This window comes from Homo sapiens, chromosome 6 (genome assembly GCF_000001405.40).
Source record: "Homo sapiens chromosome 6, GRCh38.p14 Primary Assembly".
In the NCBI taxonomy this organism is placed as follows: domain Eukaryota; kingdom Metazoa; phylum Chordata; class Mammalia; order Primates; family Hominidae; genus Homo; species Homo sapiens.
In genome coordinates this window covers 36,014,064-36,038,499 of record NC_000006.12, presented here as the reverse complement: position 1 = coordinate 36,038,499, position 24,436 = coordinate 36,014,064, and the positions used below count along the sequence as shown (strand labels likewise).

Here is a 24,436-nt window from a genome sequence, read left to right as displayed (position 1 = left end):
TGGTCATAACCCTCCAAGGCTTCCCCTCTCACTTAAAGGAAAAGTCACAGTCTGTACAAAGGCAAATAAGACCCTACATGATCCCTGCATATCTGCAACCCTCTCCTCACCCCACTTTTCTCCCTATATTTGGCCCCTGGTTCATTTAGCTCTAGCTGTACTGGTCTCTTAGCTATTTCCTGGAGCACAGGGCCCTTACCTCAGGGCTTTTGCACACTTGCTAATCCTCAGCCTAGAATGTTATCACATCCTCACCCATGTCCAACCAGTGTCCTATATCACCTTCTTCAGGTTTTTGCTCAATTGTTACTTTATCAATGATGCTTACCGTATTCACCTTTCTTAAAAGTGCAACAGCCATCCTAGCACTCACTCTCCTTCCCTTCTTGCATTTTCTCCACAGCACTTATCTGACACACTATATATTTTGTTTATTATCTACTTCCACTGCCATCCCCATTAGAATATAGCTTCCTTTTTTTTTTCTTTTTGGAGACAGGGTATCACTCTGTCACCCAAGCTGGAGTACAGTGGCAGGATCACAGCTCACTACAGCCTCAACTTCCCAGGCTCAAGCAATCCTCTTAGGCTCAAGCAATCCCTCCACCTCAGCCTCCCAAGTAGTTGGAACTACAGGAGTGTGCCACCAAGCATCCCTAATTTTTTATTTTTATTTTTTAGTAGAGGAGCCTCCCCATTTTTCCCAGGATGCTGGTTTCTAACTACTGGGCTCAAGGAAACCTACCTTGGCCTCCCAAAGTGCAGGAATTACAGGTGTGAGCCACTCACTGCACCTGGCCAGAATATAGCTTCTTAAGGCAGAAATTTTTGTCTCTTTTGTTCACATTTCATCTCCAGCACTTACGGCAAACCATACATGGTAGGCACTCAAGGTATAATGAGTCCTGTCCTCAAGGAGATTACCATGAACCTATGCTCCTTCCCCTTTCTCTCTACAATCTTGTACCCTGTAACACTCTTTTGTAACTTTGTAACACAAAGTTCAGAAAATGGCACTAAAATATATCCATTTGCCCAAGGCCAAAACTTAGAAATCCTAGACTCCTCACTCTCCTATACTTCTTTCCCCCAACATTCAGCCTTGGAGCCAAGCATGCCCAAAACCCAGTATCCATTTGTCAAGTACAGAATTTACAAACCACCACTTCTTCTTCCCTATAATAAATTATTAAAAGACTTGAACACTGCACGGGAAAGCTGGTTAATTTTGTAAATCCTTAACACATACATACAGGTGTACCTCAAAGATATCATGAGTTCAGTTCCAGACAACCACAACACAGTGAATATCACAAAAAAATGAGTGACATAAATTTTTTGGTTTCCCAGTGCATATAAAAGTTATATTTACATGATACTGTAGTCTATTAAGTATGCACTAGCAGTATGTCAAAAAAATATATATATGCACATACCTTAATTTAAAAATATTTTATTAGCCGGGCACAGTGGCTCATACCTATTACTCTCAGCACTTTGGGAGGCCGAGGCAGGAGGATCGCTTGAGGTCAAGAGTTTGAGACCAGCCTAGCCAACATGGTGAAACCCCATCTCTATTAAAAATACAAAAATTGGCTGGGCATGGTGGTGCACACCTGTAATCCCAGCTACTCGGGAGGCTAAGGTGGGAGAATTGCTTGAACCTGGGAGGTGGAGGGTGCAGTGAGCCAAGATCGTGCCACTGCACTCCAGGCTGGGCAACAGAGCGAGACTCCATCTAGAAAAAATAAATAAATAAATAAATATTTTTTTGCTAAAAAATGCTAAGGGTCACCTGAGCCTTCAGCAAGTTATTATCTTCTTGCTGGTGGAGGGTCTTGTCTCAGTGTTGATGGCTGCTGCCTACTCAGGGTGATGGCTGCTGACTACTCAGGGTGATAACTGCTGAAGACTGGAATGACTATGGCAATTTCTAAAAATAAGACAACGGTGAATTGCTGCATTGATTTATTCTTCCTTTCGTGATAGATTTCTCTGTAGCCTGCAATGGTGTTTGATAGCATTTTACCCACAGTAGAACTACTTTCAAAATGGGAGTCAATCCTCTCAAACCTTGCTGCTGCTTTATCAACTAAGTTTATGTAATATTCTAAACCCTTTGTTGTCATTTCAACAATGTTCATAAGCATCTTCCCCAACAGCAGATTCCACCTCAAGAAACTACTTTATTTATTCATTCCTGAGAAGCAATTTCTCATCTATTGATTTTTTTTTTTTTTTTTTGAGATGTACTCTTGCTCTATCGCCCAGGCTGGAGTGCAGTGGCACGATCTCGGTTGCCACTTGGTTGCAGTGGCTCACTGCAACCTCCACTTCCCAGGTTCAAGCAATTCTCCTGCCTCAGCCTCCCAAGCAGCTGGGACTATAGGTGTACACCACAACACCAAAAAATATAAAAAACAAATTTTTGTATTTTTTCTAGAGGCAGAGTTTCGCCATGTTGGCCAGGCTGGTCTCAAACTCCTGACCTCAGATGATCTGCCTGCCTCAGCCTCCCAAAGTGCTGAAATTACAGGTGTTAGCCACCGCCCCCAGCCACCTTGCACTATAAGTTATGCTATGGAGACAGGTTCTTTCCTTAAACCTATGAACCACCCTCTGCTAGCTTCAAACTTATCTTTTGCAGCTTTCTCACCTGTCTCAAACTTCATACAATTAAAGAGAGTTAGGGCTTTGCTCTAGATTAGGCTTTGACTTAAGGGCATGTTGTGGTTGGTCTGATCTTTTATCCAGACCACTAAAACTTTCTCCAGCTCAGCAACAAGGCTGTGTTGCTTTCTAATCATTCATTTGTTTACTGGAATATAATTTTTAATTTCCTTCAAAAACTTTTCATTTGCATTCACAAATTGGCTGTTTGGTACAAGAAGCCTAGCTTTCAGCTTATCTCAGTTTTCGACATGCCTTCCTCACTATGCTTAATCATTTCTAGCTTTTGATTTAAAGTAAGAGACATGCAAACATTCCTTTCACTTGAACATTCAGAAACCACTGTAGTGTTATTAATTGGCCTAATTTCAGTATTATTGTGTCTCAGGGAATAAGGACGCCTTAGGAGATGGAGAGAGGGAACAGCTGGTTGGCAGAGCAGTCAGAACACACACAATGTTTATCAATTAAGTCTGCCTATGGGCATGGTTCCAGACACCTCAAAACAATTACAACAGCAACATCAAAGATCAGTGATCTCAGATCCCCATAATATTTAATAATAATGAGAAAGTTTGAAATATTGCGAGAACTGCCGGGCACAGTGGCTCACACCTGTAATCCCAGCAGAACTGCCGGGCATGGTGGCTCACACCTGTAATCCCAGCACTTTGGGAGGCCAAGGCAGGCAGATCACAAGGTCAGGAGTTCGAGACCAGCCTGACCAACATGGTGAAACCCCATCTCTACTAAAAATACAAAAATTAGCCAGGTGTGGTGGCACATGCCTGTAGTCCCAGCTACTTGGGAGGCTGAGGCAGGAGAATCACTTGAAACCGGAAGGCGGAGGTTGCAGTGAGCCGAGATCGCACCATGGCACTCCAGTCTGGGCGACAGAGCAGAACTCCGTCTCAAAAAAAAAAAAAAAAAAAGAAAGAAAGAAATATTGCGAGAATTACCAAAATGTGACACAGAGACATGAAGTGAGCACATGCTTTTGGAAAAATGGTGCCAAAAGACTCGCTTACCACAGGGTTGTCACTAACCTTCAATTTGCAAAAAAAAAGCAATTATCTGTGAAGCATAATAAAACGAGTTGTGCCTGTGCTTAATTTATGGAAGCACTGTGAAAGACAAACTACTCTGAATACTGAAAGTTTCTTTTACAAAAACATTTCCAAGTTTAAAGAAGTTTTTGGTTATTTTCCTGACGAAACAGCTGCATGACTTCCATAGCAGCCATGAGAAGACATCCCTAAGTTCCAAGTCAGGGGAGCCCACTTTATAATGAGGCTTTTCTGAGCACTGCAGTAATTATACCTCTTAGATAAGAACAAATCAGTTTTACCCCAAATTTTACTGCAAAAAGCAAAAATCTAATGTATTTTCAAAGGGCTGGAGAGGCAGTTATTTCTATTTATATCCTATACTTATGTAACACAAACATGTACAGACAGTCCCAACTTTACATAAATGTACACTGAAGAATTTCAATCCAATAGGATTCATAAATTCAGGAATTAACTATTTGCACTGCCTAATAATTCCTTCAGAAAAAATTTTAATCTGGGCAATGAGTGCATTTTTGATTTATCAGTTCTGAGGAAGAGACATGACTCTAATGGGTTAAATGGGTTAAGTCATTACCCCTCACATAAACTGGGCAATGACACTGGTGGAACTGCTTTCCTACACTCAAGCTCTATTCCGAGTGACTCAGCAACCCCTTTTTCACAAGAGGAGGTTAACTGCATAAGAGAAGGTGCCACCGCGCAACCTCAGCAGCCCACATCTATCAGAAAGGAGACTACTAAAAGTAGCATTGACAAGTATGCCATTCCTTTAATGAATGAGTCCAGCTCCCCATCTATAAAATGGAGTTAATAAATATGAGCCTCCATGGAGCTAGTGAGAACTGATTGATAATGCTTTGAATGAAAACACTTTATAAACTGCAAAAATCCCTAAAAATGTCAGTTAATTCTAAAGTGAGGGTGATCTACCCCAGTGAATTCTTCCATCTTTGAATTCTAGGCCCCAGGGGCTCAGCAATATCTGCACTCTTGCCCATGAAAGGCAAAGTCAACACATCATCTCTGAGACTGGGCTAGAAAGAAATCAAAAGCAGAGTACTCCTCAGTATCAAGAAATCAAACTGGCAGAACTGAAAACCTGGAGATCCAGGATAAGCTTATTTTAAAGAAGAACCAGTGGAGGCTGGGTGTGGTGGCTCATTCCTGTAATCCCAGCACTTTGGGAGGCCAAGGTGGGCAGATCACAAGGTCAGGAGTTCGAGACTGGCCTGACCAACATGGTAAAACCCCGTCTCTACTAAAAATACAAAAATCAGCCAGGCATGGTGGCACGCACTTGTAATCTCAGCTATTCAGGAGGCTGAGGCAGGAGAATTGCTTGAACTCGGGAGGCAGAGGCTGCCGTGAGCCGAGATTGCACCACTGCGCCCCAGCCTGGGCAACACAGCAAGACTCCGTCTCAAAAAAAAAAAAAAGTGGAAAAATGGGATTTGATAATAAAATGACTTTATAGCCAGCTTCGAATGAACTCTTTCTTAAAACAATCTTTATACATCAATAATACAAATGCTTGCCGTTAATTATGTTTAAAGACTTCTTATTGACTGGCACTGGTAACATACAGGCAACTACCTTACTTTTGGTTACAAAGAAAAGAATGGAAAGCTCAGCATGGACCTACTATCACTACTAGAAAAGTAAAGGGCACACCCTTCTCACTGGTCAGGAGTCAAGAAAGTCACCCTTGTATACTTAATAATCATGCACTTTTATTTCTTTGTGCCCTGGCTCATTCTAAAAAAAAAAAAAAATAGATTTAAAATGGTGAATGGCCATTAATAGTTAAAAAAAGTTAGCTTCACTTATTTCTTTTATACTAGAATAATCTTGTTCCACAAAGCACTTAGGAAGTTGTATTTGATTTCTTAGCAAGTTTTGCTATCCTTTTACCAAAGGTTTTGTTATATACTTTTTATGCTGATGATAAAGTGCACAGCACAATGCTAGAACATAGCAAGCAATCCACAAAATGTAGTTATTAAACCCACTAGGCTGTAAGTTCCAGGAGAGAATGGATTGTCTTGTTTCTGTCTTGTTTAGCACTCTATTTCCAGAACCTAGCTATCTGGCCCATGGTAGGTATTCAATAAACACTGTTGAATAAACAGTTGAATAAGATCTAAGAGTAATTCTCAACTGTCACCTCCTATTTCATGGTTACCAGTGTCCCACCTCCTCTAATCAACAGCAAGGGCCTGGAAGAACCCTACCCCAGAGGAAAGGCACTTAAGTTCCTGTTTGTATTTCCTTAAACTCACCACAAAGATTCTCCCCTTCTGTCCCAAAACCCCAAAATCAATGCTTTGCAACAATGTATTCTTAAACAATTTTGCTTCATTTCCCCTCACAGACAATGCATAAAGTTCCTTAAAACTGCAAGACCTAGTCTAGTTCCCTTTACCCTTTAACGGAAAGGCATATTTGTAAAACTCTATTTTGATTCATAGTTGGTTATCACACAGGCTTCTACTTGTTTTTTTACTATACTTAGTATAAATTAAAATAATATAGGCTTAAAATAATTTGTAAATGTTACAAAGTATACCACACTTTAGAGCAATAAAATTCGGAAACTGACAAATATTTCAATGAATGAATTTTATTCATTGAAATATTCTATTCATTTATTTTCATTCTTGAAAATAAAATTCAGGGGCTGGGTGTGGTGGCTCATCCCTATAATCCCAGCACTTCGGGAGGCCAAGGTGGGGGAACTGCTTGAGGCCAGGAGTTTGAGACCAACCTGGGCAACACAGTAAGACCCTATCTCTACAAAATAAATAAATAAATAAAATAAAATTCGGAGATTTTTTTGGAAGTAGACTTCAGGTCCAGTTCAAGAAGTCACACAAAAAATTATGTGTTGTTACTTTATAGTTATAACTCCTATCTGACCTAAAACAGTAGTATCACCAACCTGATTGCCTTATCTTTCTTATCAGACTTGAGTCCAAATTCCCTAAATTATTTGGATTCAAATGAACTGTTATTCCCTAAAATCAAATCTGCTCTCAAAAAAATGAAGATGGATGGCCAGAGACGGTGGCTCACCCCTGTAATCTCAGCACTTTGGGAGGCCAAGGCAAGTGGATCACCTGAGGTCAGGAGTTAGAGATCAGCCTGGCCAACATGGTGAAACCCTGTCTGTATTAAAAATACAAAAATCATCCGGGCATGGTGTTGCGCACTTGTATCCCAGCTACTTGGGAGCCTAAGGCAGGAGAATCGCTTGAACCCATGAGGTGGAGGTTATAGTGAGCAGAGATGGTGCCACTGCACTCCAACTTGGACAACAGAATGAGACTCTGTCTCAAAATAAAAAAGAAGAAGAATATCACAGGCTCCAAAGTGGATTCTAAAAGAAGTTCCAAAAAATGTTTTCTGCCACACCTAAAAAGGTACTCATTGAAAGAACAACTTCAGGCTGGGCACCGTGGCTGAGGCCTATAATCCCAGCACTTTGGGAGGCCAAGGAGAGCAGATCACTTGAGGTCAGGAGTCTGAGACCAGCCTGGCCAACATGGAGAACCCCGTCTCTACTAAAAATACAAAAATTAGCTGGGTATGGTGGCGGGCACCTGTAGTCCCAGCTACTAGGGAGGCTGAGGCAGGAGAATCGCTTGAACCCAGGAGGTGGAAGTTGCAGTGAGCCAAGATGGCACCACTGCACTCAAGCCTGGGCGACAGAGTGAGACTTCGTCTCAAAGAAAAGAAAAACTTCAAATAACTACGCTGAATCTCTGAATAAGATAACACTTAATTGTAAATCTAAATTCTGGTATTTTCATTCCAACATTAGTTATAATTTGTTTATTGTCAATTGTCATACAATTTCAGTTTCAGTTGTATTTTCTTTCACCAATATGCTGTAGGTTACATCTTAAATCCCTTTAGTAGAAAGACTACTAAACAAACAAGCAAATAAAAAAAACTGCCTCTCTGGAAAGACACAAGACACTTAACAGTGCCTGTCTTTGAGAGAGTAGAGTGGCTGGAGAACAAAAAGGAAAGGAGACTTTTCACTGAATATCTTTTTTTTTTTTTTTTTTGAGACGGCGTCTCGCACTTTCGCCCAGGCTGGAGTGCAGTGGAGCGATCTCAGCTCATTGCAACCTCCGCCTCCCGGGTTCAAATCATCCTCCTGCCTCAGCCTCCTGAGTAGCTGGGAGTACAGGCGCCCGCCACCACGGGCGGCTAATTTTTTGTATTTTTAGTAGAGACGGGGTTTCACCGTGTTAGCCAGGATGGTCTCGATCTCCTGACGCTGTGATCCACCCGCCTCGGCCTCCCAAAGTGCTGGGATTACAGGCGTGAGCCACTGCACCCGGCCCACTGAGTACCTTTGTAAAACTTTCAAATTTTATACAATGTCAATGTATTTTAAAAAATCTGTTCAATAAAATAAAAGTACTTTTAAGTGTCAGATACTGCTGGCTTCTATACCACAGAAAAGTATACCACTAAAGAACTGTGGAGTTAATTTTAATGGTACTTCACTGTAAATCTGAATCTCCTGTTCCAGTGCAGAGCTAGTCACCAATAGTAGCGAACCCTTGCAAGCAATTCAATTGGAGTTCACCCAAACCCTCTATAGTTGAGTTATTCTGCTGTATCACTCCATTAAAATTTAAATAGCATTGAAAACGAAAACGTGATACTACAGAAATGTATGTCAATTCAAGAATGAAAAAATGGAAGTATATTAATGAGCTATAAAATATTAAAAGAGCAATGATCCAAATACGTCTTTGAAAATTAGCAAATCAACTAGATATATATAATATGTATATACTGAATGTATATACCTATATAATATGTATATACTGAATGTATATACCTATATAATATGTATATACTGAATGTAAAATGCTGCAAACCAACTACACACACACACTCTCTGAATGTAAAATGCTGCAAATTCCTTTAAAATGTAAACTGCCATGCTGTAAAAATGGGAGAAAGATGTCAAGCACGGTGCTATCTGCAACATAACTTAAGCAACTTGAACTAGAAAATGCAATATGATCTGTTGCTGGACACAATTGCACAATCTCAATTACCCAGAAGATTCTACCAAACAGGAAATTCATGATGTGACTTTGGGAAACACAGAAATCATATTTAAAGATTAACACATCCAAAAGCCTGGAATTTGTTCCAAAACAAAAAAACGATTTTACAGGCCCGTTTTCAAATGACGCATACAATACGAATTACTAAAACACAGAAAAAGCTAACAGTTAAATCTGATACTTAGTTTAAGATCCGTAGCTTTCAAATTATAGAAAATCTAAAATACAGGGTATAAAACCTTGGAAGTTAAGAGAGCAGTTAGTGAAATATTTCAGGTCTGGAAATTATATGCTATCGACTTAATTTAAAACACACTCACGGTGTAAATTAAAGCTAAAAAGTATCTCTTCCCTTCCTTTTCTATGTGGTTCCATATCCTTACGAAAACCATCGTGTACCTCAGGCCATAAATGCAGATAACTAGATAACTCCCTGCAAGCTCTCTAAGGGACTTTTAAAACACAGTATTCGCAGGAATTATCTCAAAAAATATTTACAATACCTCCCAGCACTGTTAATAACTTTTTGATCTTGAGGGCGCCTTACAGATCTGAATCTTTCTTGCTCCAAATGAGAAAATTGTTTTGTCGAACAATACTTAAATGAGCAGTGGTATGTGACTAATCAGTGAGCCTGCCAGTTTCTCAAGCTGCAGTGTTCTTGCAGGCACTACCACCGCCGCCCCTCCACGGAAAGGAAATACGCTTTCAACCGAATCGGAAACACACCACTCAAGCTGGCACAGTGCTCACCGAGATAAAGTCGGTATTTTAAGCTCTATGGATCGCTGTTAATTCAAGTGCGAATTCAAAAAGAACGCTTTTCAAGATGGGATTTCGACAGAGTTTTGAAAAAAAAAAAAAAAAAAAAAGGCCCGGAGAGAGCTCCCTTCCTGGTCAGTTTTGTTCAGATGACCGCAGTCTTCGGGTTGGGCTGTGCCCTTCTGCTTCTCCCGGCAGTTCCCCGAGCTTGTCTGCTCAGAGGACCCAGGGTCCGGAGCCCCAGCGTGGGCGCATCACGGGAGAGGGTCCTTCTGCTCCAGGTAGGCAGGGAGACCCCCAAGGAAGCGGCCCTTCCCCCGGTGCCTGTTGCCGAGCAGCAACCCTCCGAGAGGGGAAGGCGCAGGGTGCTAGCCAGAACCGAGCTCCAGCACCACCACCTACCTCTCGCAGCGGACCTGAGTGCTGCACACGGTGGACCGCATACCTGCGTGAGTGCAGGGCGAGGGGTGCTGGAGGTGCAGAACGGGCAGAGCTCGAAGGGGCAGCAATGCCCTCCCCCGAGGAAAATTCCTGCCACTTGACGCAACGCTGAGCAGTGGAGCAGGCCTGGCCCTCGGGCGCGAGGGGCCACCCTGCCCACAGCGGCCCCAGGCCCAGCGACACTCACCACACAGAGCCATAGGCGCCAGAGCCCACTGGAGACAGGTTCTGGTAACGCTCGGGCACCTCCCAGATTGTCTTGTTCAGCTCCTGCCGGTAGAACGTGGGCCTCTCCTGAGACATTTTCCAGCGGCAGCCGCCGGGCAAGAAGGTGGCCCTGTGGGGCCCCCGCCTGCACCCGCACCCTCTCCCCGGCCCTTGCTGCCCGCCCAGCCGGGCGGGGACCTTGCGCTGGTCGCCCGCGCAGGTGCGGCTGCCGCGACCCCGCAGACTCCCGCGCGCGCGGCTGCTGTCAGCCGCAGCGGCTGGATGTGCCCCTGCGACTGGGGCAAGCCCCGCTAAGGGCAGGGACGCGCTCCGGCGCTCAAGACTGCGCCCGCCGCGATCTCCCTGCACCTTCGCCCCTACAAGGCCGACTCCGGGCTGCGTCGCAGTACTCCCGTTCCAGCTGCTGCGCCCGCTAAGGCTCCAGTGGTCGCGGTTCCAAGAGCCAGCAAACGGGAGCCTCCCGCAGTACTCTCGCGAGAACAGCTCCCGGGACTCTCCGAGAGCCGAGATTTTACCCAATATGGAACCTCTCCGCGGGCGGGGCTTCGTGAGAGAAGAGGATGGGAGGAGCAGTTCTCGCGAGAAGAGAACAATAACTGGAGACCAAAGGCAGAAACTCCCAGGGACTGTCTCCTTAAGGGCGCGAAGGCGGACCGGGGAAGGAAGAGAGAAGCTGGCAGCACACGCCTCGCGCGCCTCACCGTGGCCGGCGGGGCAAATACCTGGCTCTGTGGTGGAAAACGACACTGACAAATAGCGTGTCGGGGAAAGAGTCAAAAGATCTTTAACTGCGAGTAGTTACCAGCAGCAGAGCACCTGCTCACCTGAACCCCCAAATTCCAAAAAACACTTGCATAAAAAAGAGACAAGTGGCCGGGCGTGGTGGCTCACGCCTGTAATCCCAGCACTTTGGGAGGCCGAGGCGGGCGGATCACCTGAGGTCGGGAGTTCGAGACCAGCCTGACCAACATGGAGAAACCCCGTCTCTACTAAAAATGCAAAATTAACCGGGCGTAGTGGCGCGCACCTGGAGTCTTAGCTATTCGGGAGGCTGAGGCAGGAGAATCGCTTGAACCCGGGAGGCGGAGTTGCGGTGAGCCGAGATCGTGCCATTACACTCCAGCCTGGGCAACAAGAGCGAAACTCCGTCTCAAAAGAAAGAAAGAAAGAAAGAGACAGGTTCCGGCCAGAAGGCTGTTGCATTCCCATCTGCTCAAGGACATATGGGTTACTCTTTGAGATGCTGACGAAATATGTCCCAAAGGCAAATGTTAACCCTGCATCAAAGCTGAGGCTTTCCAGGGGCTGGGCTCAGTGGCTCACACCTGTTATCCCAGCACTTTGGGAGGCCGAGGCGGGTGGATCACGAGGTCAAGCGATAGAGACCATCCTGGCCAACATGGTGAAACCTCGTCTCTACTAAAAAAAATACAAAAATTAGCTGGGCGTGGTGGCACGACCCTGTAGTCCCAGCTTCTCGGGAGGCTGAGGCAGGAGAATTGCATGAATCCAGGAGGCGGAGGTTGCAGTGAGCTAAAATCGCGCCACTGCACTCCAGCCTGGCGTCAGAGGGAGACTCCGTCTCAAAAACAAAAACAAAAACAAAAACAAACCGAAGCTTTACATTAAAACTCTCCCAGTTAAACTTACATGCAGAAAAATCACCCTGGGAGTTTAAGATGCAAGTTCCCAGAACTCACAGGGAGTCTAATTGGGTAGGTCAGAGGAGGTCTTGATCAAGAGCATGCATTTTTATAATACATCTTAGGTGATTCTGATTCAGGAAAGTCTCTGATATCTCCCTTTGAGAAGCATTTAAAAAACCGTTACACTGAAGATTTGAAACTGACTCCTATCCTGAAGAGCCATCAGTGAAGAGGATTTTAAGCATTTAACTCAGGCCTCTTCGAGTAAGGAGAATAGGGCAGGAGTCTCATCGAATTTAGGCAAGTCAACTGACCTTTCCTGAACCTCAGTTCCAGCTTCTACGAGAGAATTCCTGCCCTGCATTCCCGACTAACAGAGTCATTTGTAAAAACCAAACAAGATAAATGTGAATGGGCAAGGCATTCTAACCCCATGCCTACATCCATTATCAACCTATGCCTATGCTAAAGCTTGTTACAATGAGCAGAAGAATCAGATCCTGTCTCATTCTCTTAGTTTCTTGTATTAGAAATAACTAGATCCAAGCCAGGACATTTCTCAACATTTCCCGTGATTATTCTATTTTGTGTCATACACACCTTGGAGGGCTCAGACTTTGCATATCTTGTCCCAACATCTAGCACAATGTCTAGAACATAAAACATGTGTCATAAATATTTGTTGAAAAAATTATGAACAGTGACCATGATTTCAAGTGGTACAGTATCCTCAGTCCTCTTCAAGGAAAGCAATATAAAACCAAAAAACAGATAGTCATGGGTGATTCATGGAAAGCTGTTTTGGATCCAATGTAGCTTAGGCTGGAATTCTCTTATCTACAAAAACATGTTGCTTGAGAATGTTCCAAACTAGGGAGGATAGGAAGCTTTCTAAGAAGTAATGGAGGGTGAAGGGGAAGTAAGAGCAAAAACATGATTGTGAAGACATGAGGGATGGGGTTGGGGGGATCAAGGGAATGAGGGAATGGTTACAAAGGGTGAGGAGGAAGCTTGGAAGTAGGAATCCTCAGAAATGCACATTTTTATCCTACAAATTGGGATGATGAGGTGAGGGTGAATGAAAGGGTAAAGATAAAGTAAGCAGTATATTCATACACTCATTCAACCAATGTGTATTAAATGCCTACTAGGTGTCAAACACTTGCAGTTTAAAAGTGATTAAAAACTACAGTTGCTGCCGGTGTGGAGCTTACAATCAATGGGAGGGCAATCATTCAACAAAAATTAATTGAATACTTCCTATGTCCACCACACTGCTGTAGGCACTGATAATAAAACAGTTAATGAAAGGGATAAAAGTCCTTGCCCTCATAGGGGTAAGATGATTTACAAAAAGGAATACATAAAGTGCATTATAAGGTAGACATTAACACAGTCATCAAACAAACAAGTGTAAAACTGTAACTGGGCCAAGCAGGAATACAAGGTGGAGTGAGAGACAGTGCTAGGGACAGGGATAGGGTGGGAGGAGGGTAAAGGGAGTGAGTGCAGATGGCATGTCTGCATCCAGAGCAGATCTGGGCAGGAGGGTGTCATTCAGTGGGGAGAGCCGGGTTTGTGGGGCAGACAGCCTATGGTTGGAGACCTGGGTGACCCTCCTAGCCTCCATTTCTTTTTACCTCTTCTGACCTGAGGAAGGCTTAAGTCTTCCGGAGACGTTAGTGAATTACCGTCTGTGCAGTACACATGTGACACATGTGCACTGCTGTATGTTCAGGACACGAGGCCTGGCACCAAATAGGCCCTCGATCAAGAATAGCAAAACCTCGGAGAGAGAAGGAGCCTTGGTATACAGGTTTACCAAATACCAAGGGGATCCCACGACTCAGGTATGAGGAGGGCGACCCAGGTACCACTTTCCTGGCTCCCTAGCCCAGCTGCTCATGCTCCTCTTCCTCGTCCCCTCCCCCACTCTCATCTCCTCAGCCCGCCCGGAACGCCCGCGGGCTAGGCCACAACGGCTCGGGAACCGCCGCCGGTATCCGCGTCCGCAGCGCCGCCAGCCAGGCGAGAGCCGTGTGGGATCCCAGCGCCCGCACTCCCGCCCCCGCCAAGGAGCCAGGTGAGCCGCTGCTGGGAGACGCCTGGGCGCCGGGGGCTGCAGGTCCCAGGGCGGGGGCTGCGTCCGTCACCGGCAGGTACCCAGGTATGCCGCAGAGCCAGGCACGCCGTGGGCACTCAGTCAGTATCTGTGGAATGAATGAATGATGGTCGTCCCTGGGAGCTTATCTCTGAGGTATTGTCTCTACTTTCAAAGGCCGTGTGGATGGCAATGACAAGAGACAACAGTGTGTGCGTTTTGCAAGCTGCATCCTTTCAAATTCTCCTGTCTATATTGTCAAAAGCCCCAGAACTGACGTGCTACCTGCACCCCACCGCCTACCCCATCCATTTCCTCCTGAGGCCTGACTGCCCGGCCGTTCCTCTTCCTTTCAGACCCCACTGCTTTTGTTAATTTTGTTCCCTGTGACTGAATCCCCACCCCCACCTCCTTGCCCCTTTCTTTTCATGTCAAATGCCGTTGATGTGTCAGGGGCCCCGTGAAGCCTTCTCCAGCACCCCCACCCCAATAATGAGCATCTCTCCAACACACCATGTTACTCTATCCACATTGCATGGAAGGTGGTTGTCCTATGTTTATGTGTCCAATGGTCATCCGCTTAAGGACTGTCATCTTACTAGTCATCCCTAGCCACTAGCCAGAGTGACTAAAGGATCTAAAGGCCAGGCTCTTTGCTTATACCTTTTCTGTATTCCCAATACATTCTCCATAAAAACCTAGGTAGTAACAGGTGTAGGGTTGTTTCTGATGGAATTACAAATGCTTATTTTGAAAATTCGGAAGTAAATTTTGCCTTTCCGTGATTATAGAAAACATAAGAAAGTTAACAATATCAGGGGGAAGATATTCCTGCAACTAAACTAGCTTTCAAGATTTCATATTATTTGGGTCAATAGCTAAAAAATTGGATTGTATTTAAACTTTTTATTCTTGACTTTTTTTTTTTTTTTTTTTTTTGAGACAGAGTCTTGCTCTGTCGCCCAGGCTGGAATGCAGTGGTTTGATCTCGGTTCACTGCAACCTCTGCCTCCTAGGTTCAAGCGATTCTCCTGCCTCACCCTCCTGAGTAGCCAGGACTACAGGCACGCCATCATGCTCGGCTAATTTTTGTATTTTTATTAGAGACGGGGTTTCACCATGTTGGCCAGGCTGGTCTTGAACTCCTGACCTCAGCTGATCCAACCGCCTTGGCCTTCCAAAGTGCTGGGATTACAGGCATGAGCCACTGAGCCATGTCTGGCCTATTCTTTACTTTTAAAGCACTCTGAACACAGATAATGTAAATAATTAGATAAATGGATGGATGGATGGATGGATGGATGGATGGATGGATGGATGGATAAGGGTACTATGGAGGGTGAAAGAGCTAGGCCAAAAGTGCTTGTATTTTAACAGGGCCCCCAAATTTAGCACTGAAAGGCTCATGAAAGATAATCCACTATATTTATAGTGGTAGTCATACTTTAATTTTTATCAGAATCACCTGGACAGCTTCTTTGCTTTTTTTCTACCTAGCAAGACCTACTGAATCAGAATCTCTGGGGGCCCAGCAGTCTGGACAGCTTCTTAAAACAGACTGATGGCCCCCAGAGTTTCTGATTCAGTAGGTCTTGCTAAGTGGGGCCTACTCAACAGTAGGAGTTTCTGGTCATTGCATCTTCTTGGGAAGTGTCCTGCTAGTACATGAAAATGAGCCACTAGGATTTCTATGAAATCAAGAAAGACATAATGGAGCTGGAGAAATTCCAAAGAAAATTACTTAAAAAAAATAATAAGGAAACCATGCGTTTACCCTTGCTGCTGTTAGCCAGACATTTGATGGAGTTCCTTAAAGACAACTTTCCACCTGCTCCTCCTAGCCATCCTCACTGTGGTCGTAGGAGTTTATGACTTGATAACATCTCCTAGACTAATATTAATGGTCTCCAATTGGCTGTTTTGCCTCAGTCTCTCCTATCTCCACTGTCCAACAACTTTTTGTGATGATGGAAATTTTTTATATCTGCATATCTGCACTGTCCAGTAAGGTAACCACTAGCCATATGTGGCTGTTGAGCACTTGAAATCTAGCTAGTATAATTGAGGATCTGAATTTTTTATTTTAAGTTTAAATAGCCACATGTAGCCAGTGGCTACCATACTGGACAACTCAGCTCTAGAACATAACACTGGCACATTTCATCTTCCCAAAATGCATCTCTGTGCGTATTACTACTTCTGCTGAAAGACTTTAAATAGGCCAGGCGCAGTGGCTCACGCCTGTAATCCCAGCAATTTGGGAGGCCGAGGCGGGAGGATCACCTGAGGTAGGGAATTCAAGACCAGCCTGGCCAACATGGCGAAACCCTGTCTCCACCAAAAATACAAAAATTAGCCAGATGTGGTGGCACATGCCTGTAATCCCAGCTACTCAGGAGGCAAGGCAGGAGAATCGCTTGAACCTGGGAGGTGGAGGTTGCAGTGAGCTAAGATCGCGCCACTGAACTCCAGCCTGGGTGACAGAGCTGTACTCCATCTCCAAAAAAATAAAAAATAGGCCGGGCGCGGTGGCTCACGCGTGTAATCCCAGCACTTTGGGAGGCCGAGGGAGGCAGATCACGAGGTCAGGAGATCAAGACCATCCTGGCTAACACCGTGAAACCCTGTGAGCTGAGATCACGCCACTGCACTCCAGCCTGGGCGACAGAGCGAGACTCTATATCAAAAAATAAAATAAAATAATATACATATATATTTATATGTATACGTAAACATATGTAAAGTAATTGACAACATTTAAAAGCCAGAAGATTCCACATAAAAATCTGGCATTATGGCTTCTCCTGGAAAAGATCAGATCTAAGCCATTCCGGGCCCCACATTGACCGATGGCAAAAATGGCTAGAGCTAAGCAGCTTCTGCTGCCTTTGCCAGCCCCACTGTTCCCACCACTCCTTGACGGTCATATTTTGCCTATTTTACACCAATCCTCCTTTAATGTCACTTTCAGAACAAAATGCTGGGTTCTAGACTCTCGATGTGACCCAGGATATCAGTTTTGTCATTAGCAGACTAATTAGGCTTGTTTAGGTTGCTGGGAACAAAGAGACTACTCATGGAAGTACATTGGACAATTATACGGGGAAAGTAAGGAAGATTGGGTCTGTATTCCTATGGGTGGGGAAAGAAAGGTGGGGGGGGATTCCTTACATTTCAATATACAGTTCTACCTTTTTTTCTTTTTGTAAGAGACATGAGGCACTAATTATCTTAAGTAATATATTGTAAAATACCTCTCCCATCCTCTTCTGTATTCCCCAGTCACCTCACTGGTTTAGAGAATTTGTGATCTTTAGTTCATGGTTGTTATACAGCATATTACTTCTACCCAATGCTTTGAGGGTAAAAATACAATATATAATTATGGCCCAATTACTTACATTTTCTAAAATCTTGGTTTTACACCTGTAAAATGAAAGAAATAGTAGTACTGGTATTGTTGTGGAAATTTAATGACATAACTCGTGAAGAAATCTAGTGCAATGCATGGCATAGGATAAATGCCCAATAAATGTTGGCAATGATGATGATGATGATTCTTCTGAAGGAAAACAAAGTTGCTGACACATTAAACTTATCTGCAGCATCACCCATCATCTATATAATTGTGTAATCTATATAATTTGAGGGTTTACCAATATATTTTATAGGTATGTGGTTTATACATATGCTTTTTTACATTTATGTGGAAGAATTTTAGAGTTTATGCTTTTTTTATTGTTCAAAAACATAGATTATTAAGACTGGTTATACTTTCTCCCAGAGATGGATCCCTATCCATCCTCATTTACTCTATCTTTTCAATCTTTTAAAAAAGCAGGATAATATAGATTTTTTTTTCTTTTAGAGACAGGGTCTCGCTCTGACACCCAGGCTGGAGTACAGTGGTGCGATCCCAGCTCACTGCAACCTCCACCTGCTGGGCTCAGGTGATCCTCCCACCTCAGCCTCCTGAGCAGCTAGGACTACATGCCATGCCATCATGCCCAGCTAATTTTGTTTCTATTTTTAGTAGAGACAGGGTTTCACCATGTTGCCTAGTCTAGTCTTGAACTTCTATAGCTTTTTCTGCTACACCATGAGGCCACTAACTGTATACTTGGCAGTCATTCAAGAAACACTTGTTAAGGGCCTGCTAAGTTGCTAAGTGAAAGCCATTCTTTTGGGTCCTGGGGCTGCAACTGTGAATAGTCACAGTCCTGCTTCCTGGTCTTACATTTTATGGGGGAAACAGACAATGGACAAACAGACAAATAATGAATCAGGTGCTGGCAAGTGCCGTGAAGAAAAGTAAAAGGTAAAGGGATAATGATGTCTGCTATTTTAGAGGAGTTACAAGACTTGTATTGAGCACTTAACCCTTCATCTGGACTTCTTCATATATGCTGGATAGTGAGCATTTTCAGTGAAAATTGTTGATTAATACTGTCCACCTCTTGATCATTTTCCTACAACATAACACAACTGAATATAAAGAAAACTAGGCCTCCCAGCAGGACACCTGGGTTCTAGTCCTGGCTCTAATAAGTATCAAACAGCAAAGACTGTTTAAACTTCTGGGTTTTGTTGTCTCCATTTGAAAAATGAAAAGAATACACATAAAATTATACAACTTTGAGAAAGAGTTTTTTACAACTGAAAGATGCTATGCAAGTGTAAAACATTATTATATAGGAATTTTATTTCCTTAAAAATATGCCGAGGATCTGGATTACTGAAAATGCTCTTTTATTTGCTCTCTTTCCACTCATCCAGGAATGGCACAACTAGAGAGGAGCGCCATCTCTGGCTTCAGCTCTAAGTCCAGGCGAAACTCATTCGCATATGATGTTAAGCGTGAAGTATACAATGAGGAGACCTTTCAACAGGAACACAAAAGGAAGGCCTCCTCTTCTGGGAACATGAACATCAACATCACCACCTTCAGACACCACGTCCAGTGCCGGTGCGTGTGTCCAATCTTTCACCTGCTGCCGAGCCGGGCAGGACTGAAACCTAACCTGACTCCTTTGGGGTCCGTTTCTCTTTCTTGTCTGAGTTCCTGTAATCAGAATCATGCAGTTTATTGTGCAATTTTTCTTCAGTCATTTTTGTGGTTTGTCTTGCAGTACCTTTTCGATTGTAAACTTCCTGGGCATAAAGATCTTGGATGTCCCTATGGTACCTAAGGAGGATATTTCATAATTCCATTGTTCAATCAACCATGACTACCAGACTCCCGACCAAAAATAAGATAGCCAGCAAGACGCAATGGCTCACGCCCGTAATCCCAGCACTTCAGGAGGCCAAGGCAGGCAGATCACTTGAGTCCAGGAATTTGAGACCAACCTGGGCAACATGGTGAAACCCCGTCTCTACTAAAAATACAAAAATTAGCTGGGCGTGGTGGCACGTGCTGTAATTCCAGCTGCTCAAGAGGCTGAGGCATGAGAATTGCTTGAACCTGGGAGGCGGAGGTTGTAGTGGGTCGAGATTGTGCCACTACACTCTAGCCTGGGCAACAGAGCAAGTCTCTGTCTCAAAAAAAATAAATAAATAAGATAGCCATGGTGGACTGATTAATGGTAGGGGAATGAGATTCTTCTAGTCTCATATCCAACAGTGCCCACATGGTGGTACTCATGGTCACTAAGGTAGAATCTACCACCACCACCTCTGATACCCGCTGTGACTAGCTAGGTCCTACAGTTCAGGGGCTCTTACCCTGTTTTTGTGCTTTGAACCTTCTAGCAGTCTGATAAAGTTAATCAACATCTTTCAGAATAATTTTTTAAATGTTTTTTATTGTGGTGAAATATGTATAACATAAAATTGGCTATTTTGACCATTTTTAAATATACAATTCAGTGGCATGATTGACATTCGCAATGTTGTGAAACCATCACCGCTATTTCCAAAACTTTTTCATCACCTCAAACAGAAATTCTGTTAAGCAATAATTCCCTATTTCCCCACCCCTCAGCCCAAGTAACCTCTCTTCTGCTTTCTGTCTCTATGAATTTGCCTATTCTAGCTATTTCACTTAAGTAGAATCATACAATATGTTTGTCTTTTTGTGTCTGACTTCTTTCACTTAGCATAATGTTTTCAAGATTCATCCATATTGTAGCATGTATTAGAACTTCATTTCATTTTATGGCTGAATAATATTCCATTGTATTTATATACCACATTTTTGTTTATCCATTCGTTAACAGACATTTGAGTTGTTTCTACCGCCATTAGGCTACTGTAAATAATGCTGCCATGAACATTGGCACAGGAGATCTGTTTGAAGTCCTATAACTAGGACTAGAATTGTTGAATCACATCATAAATCTGTGGTAAATTTAACTTTTTAAGGAACTGCCAAACTGTTTTCCACAGTAGCTGCACCACTTTACATTTTCACTGGCAATGTACAATTTTTCCATGTGCTCTCCAACATTTGTTATTTTCCATTTTTTTAAATTATAGCCAACCTATTAGGTATGAAATGATATCTCATCGTGGTTTTTTGTTTTTGCTTTTGTTCTGCATTTTCCTGATGACTAAAGGTGATGAGTATCTTTTGGTGTGTTTATTGGTTAATTGTATATCTTCTTTGGAGAAATGTCTATTCATTTCCTTTGTCCTTTGTAAAATTAGGTTGTTTGTCTTTTTGTTGTTGAGTTATAGGAGTTCTTCATGTATTCTGGATATTAAATTTCTATCAGATAGATGTTTGTAAATCTTATATAATTTTGTAAATATTTTCTCCCATTCTGCAGGTTGTCTTTTCACTCTGTTGATACAGTGTCCTTTGATGTAGAAAAGTTTTTTGGTGTTTTGTTTTGTTTTGTTTTGTTTTGTTGAGACGGAATTTCACTCTTGTTGCCCAGGCTGGAGTGCGATGGCATGATCTCTGCTCACTGCAGCCCCTGCCTCCCAGGTTCGAGCAATTCTCCTGCCTCAGCCTCCTGAGTAGTGGGGACTACAGGCAGGTGCCACCACGCCCAGCTAATTTTTGTATTTTTAATAGAGGTGGGGTTTCACCATGTTGGCCAGGCTGGTTTTGAACTCCTGACCTCAGGTGATCCACCTGCCTCGGCCTCCCAAAGTGCTGGGATTACAGACGTGAGCCACCGCACCTGATGTAGAAGAGTTTTTAATTTTGATGAAATCCAATTTATCTGTATTTTCTTTTGTTGCCTGGACTTTTGGTGCCATATTTAAGAAACTTGTCAAATTCAAGATCATACAAGATCATGCATCTTTTCTTTTCTTTTCTTTTCTCCTTCCTTCCTTCCATTCTTCTTTCCTTCTTTCTTTCTTTTTGAGGCAAAGTCTCACTGTCACCCAGGCTACCATGCAGTGGCACAATCTCCGCTCACTGCAACCTCCACCTCCCAAGTTCAAGCGATTCTCCTGCCTCATCTCCCGAGTATCTGGGATTACAGGTGTGCGCCACCACACCCAGCTAATTTTTGCATTTTTAGTAGAGACGGGGTTTCATCAAATTGGTCAGGCTGGTCTCAAATTCCTGACCTCAAGTGATCCGCTTGCTTTGGCCTCACAAAGTGCTGGGATTACAGGCATGAGCCACCGCTCTGGGCCAAGATCATGCATATTTTCATCTATGTTTCCTTCTATGAATTTTATAGTTTTAGCTTTTAAATTTAGGTCTTTGATCCTTTTTGAATTAATGTTTGTATATAGTGTAAGGTAAAGGTCCAGCTTTATTCTTTTACATGTAGATATTCTGTTTTCCCAGGACAATTAGTTGAAGAGATTGTCTTCACCTAGTAAACGGTCTTGGTTGAATAATTTTTTAATGCATAAAATAAGCAGGATTATAAGGAAAACCAGTTACATTGAAATACAGTTATCTAAATATCAAAAATACCAAAATTGTGTTATTTAATAACATGGGTCTAATAACTACCATAATTTCAAAGTAGTGATGAATGTAACTAATATTTCAAGATCTCTTTAGCAATTGTAATGTAATATAGAAATGTTTGTCATTTCTACTGGTGACAAAGTCAAGTTCTGCTGATACTACTGTGTTTTGTTGCCAACATTCATAATTGAAGGAAATGCTAAAGAGGTTAGTGAAATAAAGATATAAGTTCACCTATATAATTTCACATATGTCCCCAAATACTATCTACAGACTCCTTGGGGGTCCACAAACCTCAGGTTAAGAACCCTGGCCGGGTGCAGTGGCTCACACCTGTAATCCCAGCACTTTGGGAGGCTGAGGTGGGCGGATCACTGAGGTCAGGAGTTTGAGACCATCCTGGCCAACGTGGTGAAACCCCTTCTCCACTAAAAATACAAAAATTAGCTGGGCTTGGTGGCGCACAGCTGTAGTCCCAGCTACCCGAGAGGCTGAGGCAGGAGAATCGCTTGAATCCGGGAGGCAGAGGTTGCAGTGAGCCGAGATCACGCCACTGCACTCCAGCCTGGTGACAGAATGAGACTCTGTCTCAAAAAGAAAAAAAAAAAACAAAGAATCCTTTGTGACCTACATCATTATAGTAATCTTAATTACTCAAGTTGTCCTCAGTCACACTCTGAATTTATTAGTCCTTCTTGTCCCCTGGTTTATCACCCACAATTGGCACATGTTGGTATGTTGGCATGTTGGTGACAAGTGTGGAAAGTCCTACACAGCCCTGCTCCAGACTGTCCTCTCCTTGAGACATTCTCCTTTGTCCGCATTCTGCCTTTTGCAAGTTGTGTTCTTGGATATCCCCCCCAGTCCTCTCACTTCCTCTGCTCCATGATGGATCGGGGGACATGTGCCAAAGAGGGTATTTGGGGGCAACATTGGCTTTGTCTCTATAAAATGATAGTCTTTTTCCCTAACTTTACCCTCATTATAAATAAGTATTCCCAGTGAAATTTCAACCTAACTCCTTTCTACCTTCCTTACTTAGCCTTGCCATCCGGACACTTAAATCTGACCCATTCTGCCTCCCATAAGCTTTCTAGCAACTGTTACTCCCTACTTCTAAAACATACAATTCTCTCCACTTCTAAATTTTAACCAGAAAGGTAGCACAGCACAATGCTTGAGAGCACAATTCTGGCTGGGCACAGTGGCTCATGCCTGTAATCCCAGCACTCTGGGAGGCCGAGGCAGGCAGATCACGAGGTCAGGAGTTTAAGACCAGCCTGGCCAACATGGTGAAACCCCGTCTCTACTAAAAATACAAAAATTAGCTGGACATGGTGGCACGTGCCTGTCATTCCAGCTACTCGGTAGGCTGAGGCAGGAGAATTGCTTGAACCAGGACCGGAATGCAAAGGTTGCAGTGAGCTGGGATTGCGCCACTGCACTCCAGCCTGGGCTACAGAGTGAGACTCCCTCTCAAAAAAAAAAAAAAAAAAAGCACAATTTTGAAACTGGGCTGCCTGATTTTGAATACTAGTCCTGCTGCTTTTCAGCCTTGTGACCTTAGGTAAGCTATTCAACTCTGCTGTGCCTCAGTTTCCTTATCTGTAAGATCAACATGATAATAGCACCTGCCTCGTAAAGTGATTGTGAGGATTTAAAGAGTATTTGTAAAGCAACTAGGAAATAGCACTAGATAAGTGAGGTTTTTTTTCTCTTTTTTCTTTTTTTTTATTTTGAGCCAGAGTCTCGCTCTGTCATCCATGCTGGAGTGCAGTGGCGCTGTCTCAGCTCACTGCAACCTCAGCCTCCCGGGTTCAAGCGATTCTTCTGCCTCAGCCTCCCGAGTAGCTGGGACTACAGACCTCGTTTATTTTTGTATTTTTAGTAGAGACGGGGTTTCGCCATATTGGCCAGGCCAATCTCGAACTCCTGACCTTGTGATCCGCCCGCCTTGGCCTCCCAAAGTGCTGGGATTACAGGCATGAGCCACCGCACCTGGCCATAAGTGAGTTTTTTTAATGTAAATGAAATAATCTTTTAACCCCATCTCTTCCTTTCTGCAGAAAACCTCTTAATAGCTTTCCTCATTTTCTTCCTCTTTAGCAACTGCAAATCCCCCCTCTTATCAAAATCTCCCTTGTGCTTTCATTTTGATTCTTCCATTTCTCACTTTTAAGATGTCTTAACTGAAATCCAGATTCATGTCTAAATGCTAATATTATTCCCCCGTCAGCTTCAACTTCCATTCCTCTAATTCCCTCCTTAGTTTCTGTCACTCTTAAAGCCTCATCACTCCGTGTCCATTGTATTTTTCACCATGGGGAAGAGCTTTGATGACTTTGCCTTGGGTGGCTGGCTGGTCTTTCCCTAAGTGACACACAGAGAGGAAGGCAGACTGAACCAGGTGAAGGAACAAACTGTTCCAGTGCCATGCTCTACTCTTCTCCACAGAGGCTCATAATTAGAAAGAGCATATTTTGTACACCTGCCACACACCCAGGGACTCTCCTAAGAACAGCAATGTGATGTTCCTTCCA

At 43.4% G+C, this 24,436-nt stretch overlaps 2 protein-coding genes across 24 annotated transcripts in view, besides 5 other annotated features; one reads left to right on the top strand and one right to left on the bottom strand.

Moving 5' to 3' along the window:
- MAPK14 (mitogen-activated protein kinase 14) overlaps window positions 1-10,692 on the bottom strand; it is a 96,407-nt gene extending 85,715 nt beyond the window's left edge. For 8 of the 18 annotated variants that reach the window (XR_007059209.1, XR_007059210.1, XM_047418233.1 and 5 more), the window contains exon 1: window positions 10,001-10,692. Coding sequence is in view for 12 of the 18 variants with exons in the window: in XM_047418233.1 (XP_047274189.1) it covers window positions 10,001-10,239 (239 nt within the window). In the remaining 6 variants the exon portion in view is untranslated. Of the gene's footprint in view, window positions 1-9,339; window positions 9,413-9,589; window positions 9,687-10,000 lie in introns of those variants that run through there. The other 10 variants (XR_007059211.1, XR_926065.3, XM_017010299.3 and 7 more) reach the window with 3 other exon arrangements.
- Window positions 8,694-8,988: a silencer, noted in NCBI's record as "tiled region #2026; HepG2 Repressive DNase matched - State 1:Tss, and K562 Repressive DNase unmatched - State 2:TssF". NCBI's record gives its function as "represses a minimal TATA promoter and a strong SV40 promoter by Sharpr-MPRA in HepG2 and K562 cells {active_cell/tissue: HepG2 | K562}" and the evidence as "EXISTENCE:reporter gene assay evidence [ECO:0000049][PMID:27701403]".
- Window positions 10,352-10,451: a silencer, noted in NCBI's record as "silent region_17104". NCBI's record gives its function as "represses an Ori minimal core promoter by ATAC-STARR-seq in GM12878 lymphoblastoid cells {active_cell/tissue: GM12878}" and the evidence as "EXISTENCE:reporter gene assay evidence [ECO:0000049][PMID:35858748]".
- Window positions 10,642-11,081: an enhancer, noted in NCBI's record as "active region_24415". NCBI's record gives its function as "activates an Ori minimal core promoter by ATAC-STARR-seq in GM12878 lymphoblastoid cells {active_cell/tissue: GM12878}" and the evidence as "EXISTENCE:reporter gene assay evidence [ECO:0000049][PMID:35858748]".
- Window positions 13,413-13,912: an enhancer, noted in NCBI's record as "H3K4me1 hESC enhancer chr6:35992365-35992864 (GRCh37/hg19 assembly coordinates)". NCBI's record gives its function as "activates a minimal SCP1, AML or CMV promoter by ChIP-STARR-seq in naive H9 embryonic stem cells {active_cell/tissue: H9 hESC(naive)}" and the evidence as "EXISTENCE:reporter gene assay evidence [ECO:0000049][PMID:30033119]".
- SLC26A8 (solute carrier family 26 member 8) overlaps window positions 13,859-24,436 on the top strand; it is an 81,126-nt gene continuing 70,548 nt past the window's right edge. For 3 of the 6 annotated variants that reach the window (XR_926055.4, XM_011514294.4, NM_052961.4), the window contains exons 1-2: window positions 13,859-13,996; window positions 18,791-18,980. Coding sequence is in view for 5 of the 6 variants with exons in the window: in XM_011514294.4 (XP_011512596.1) it covers window positions 18,793-18,980 (188 nt within the window). In the remaining variant the exon portion in view is untranslated. Of the gene's footprint in view, window positions 14,171-18,790; window positions 18,981-24,436 lie in introns of all 6 variants that reach the window. The other 3 variants (NM_138718.3, XM_017010235.2, NM_001193476.2) reach the window with 2 other exon arrangements.
- Window positions 13,913-14,414: an enhancer, noted in NCBI's record as "H3K4me1 hESC enhancer chr6:35991863-35992364 (GRCh37/hg19 assembly coordinates)". NCBI's record gives its function as "activates a minimal SCP1, AML or CMV promoter by ChIP-STARR-seq in naive H9 embryonic stem cells {active_cell/tissue: H9 hESC(naive)}" and the evidence as "EXISTENCE:reporter gene assay evidence [ECO:0000049][PMID:30033119]".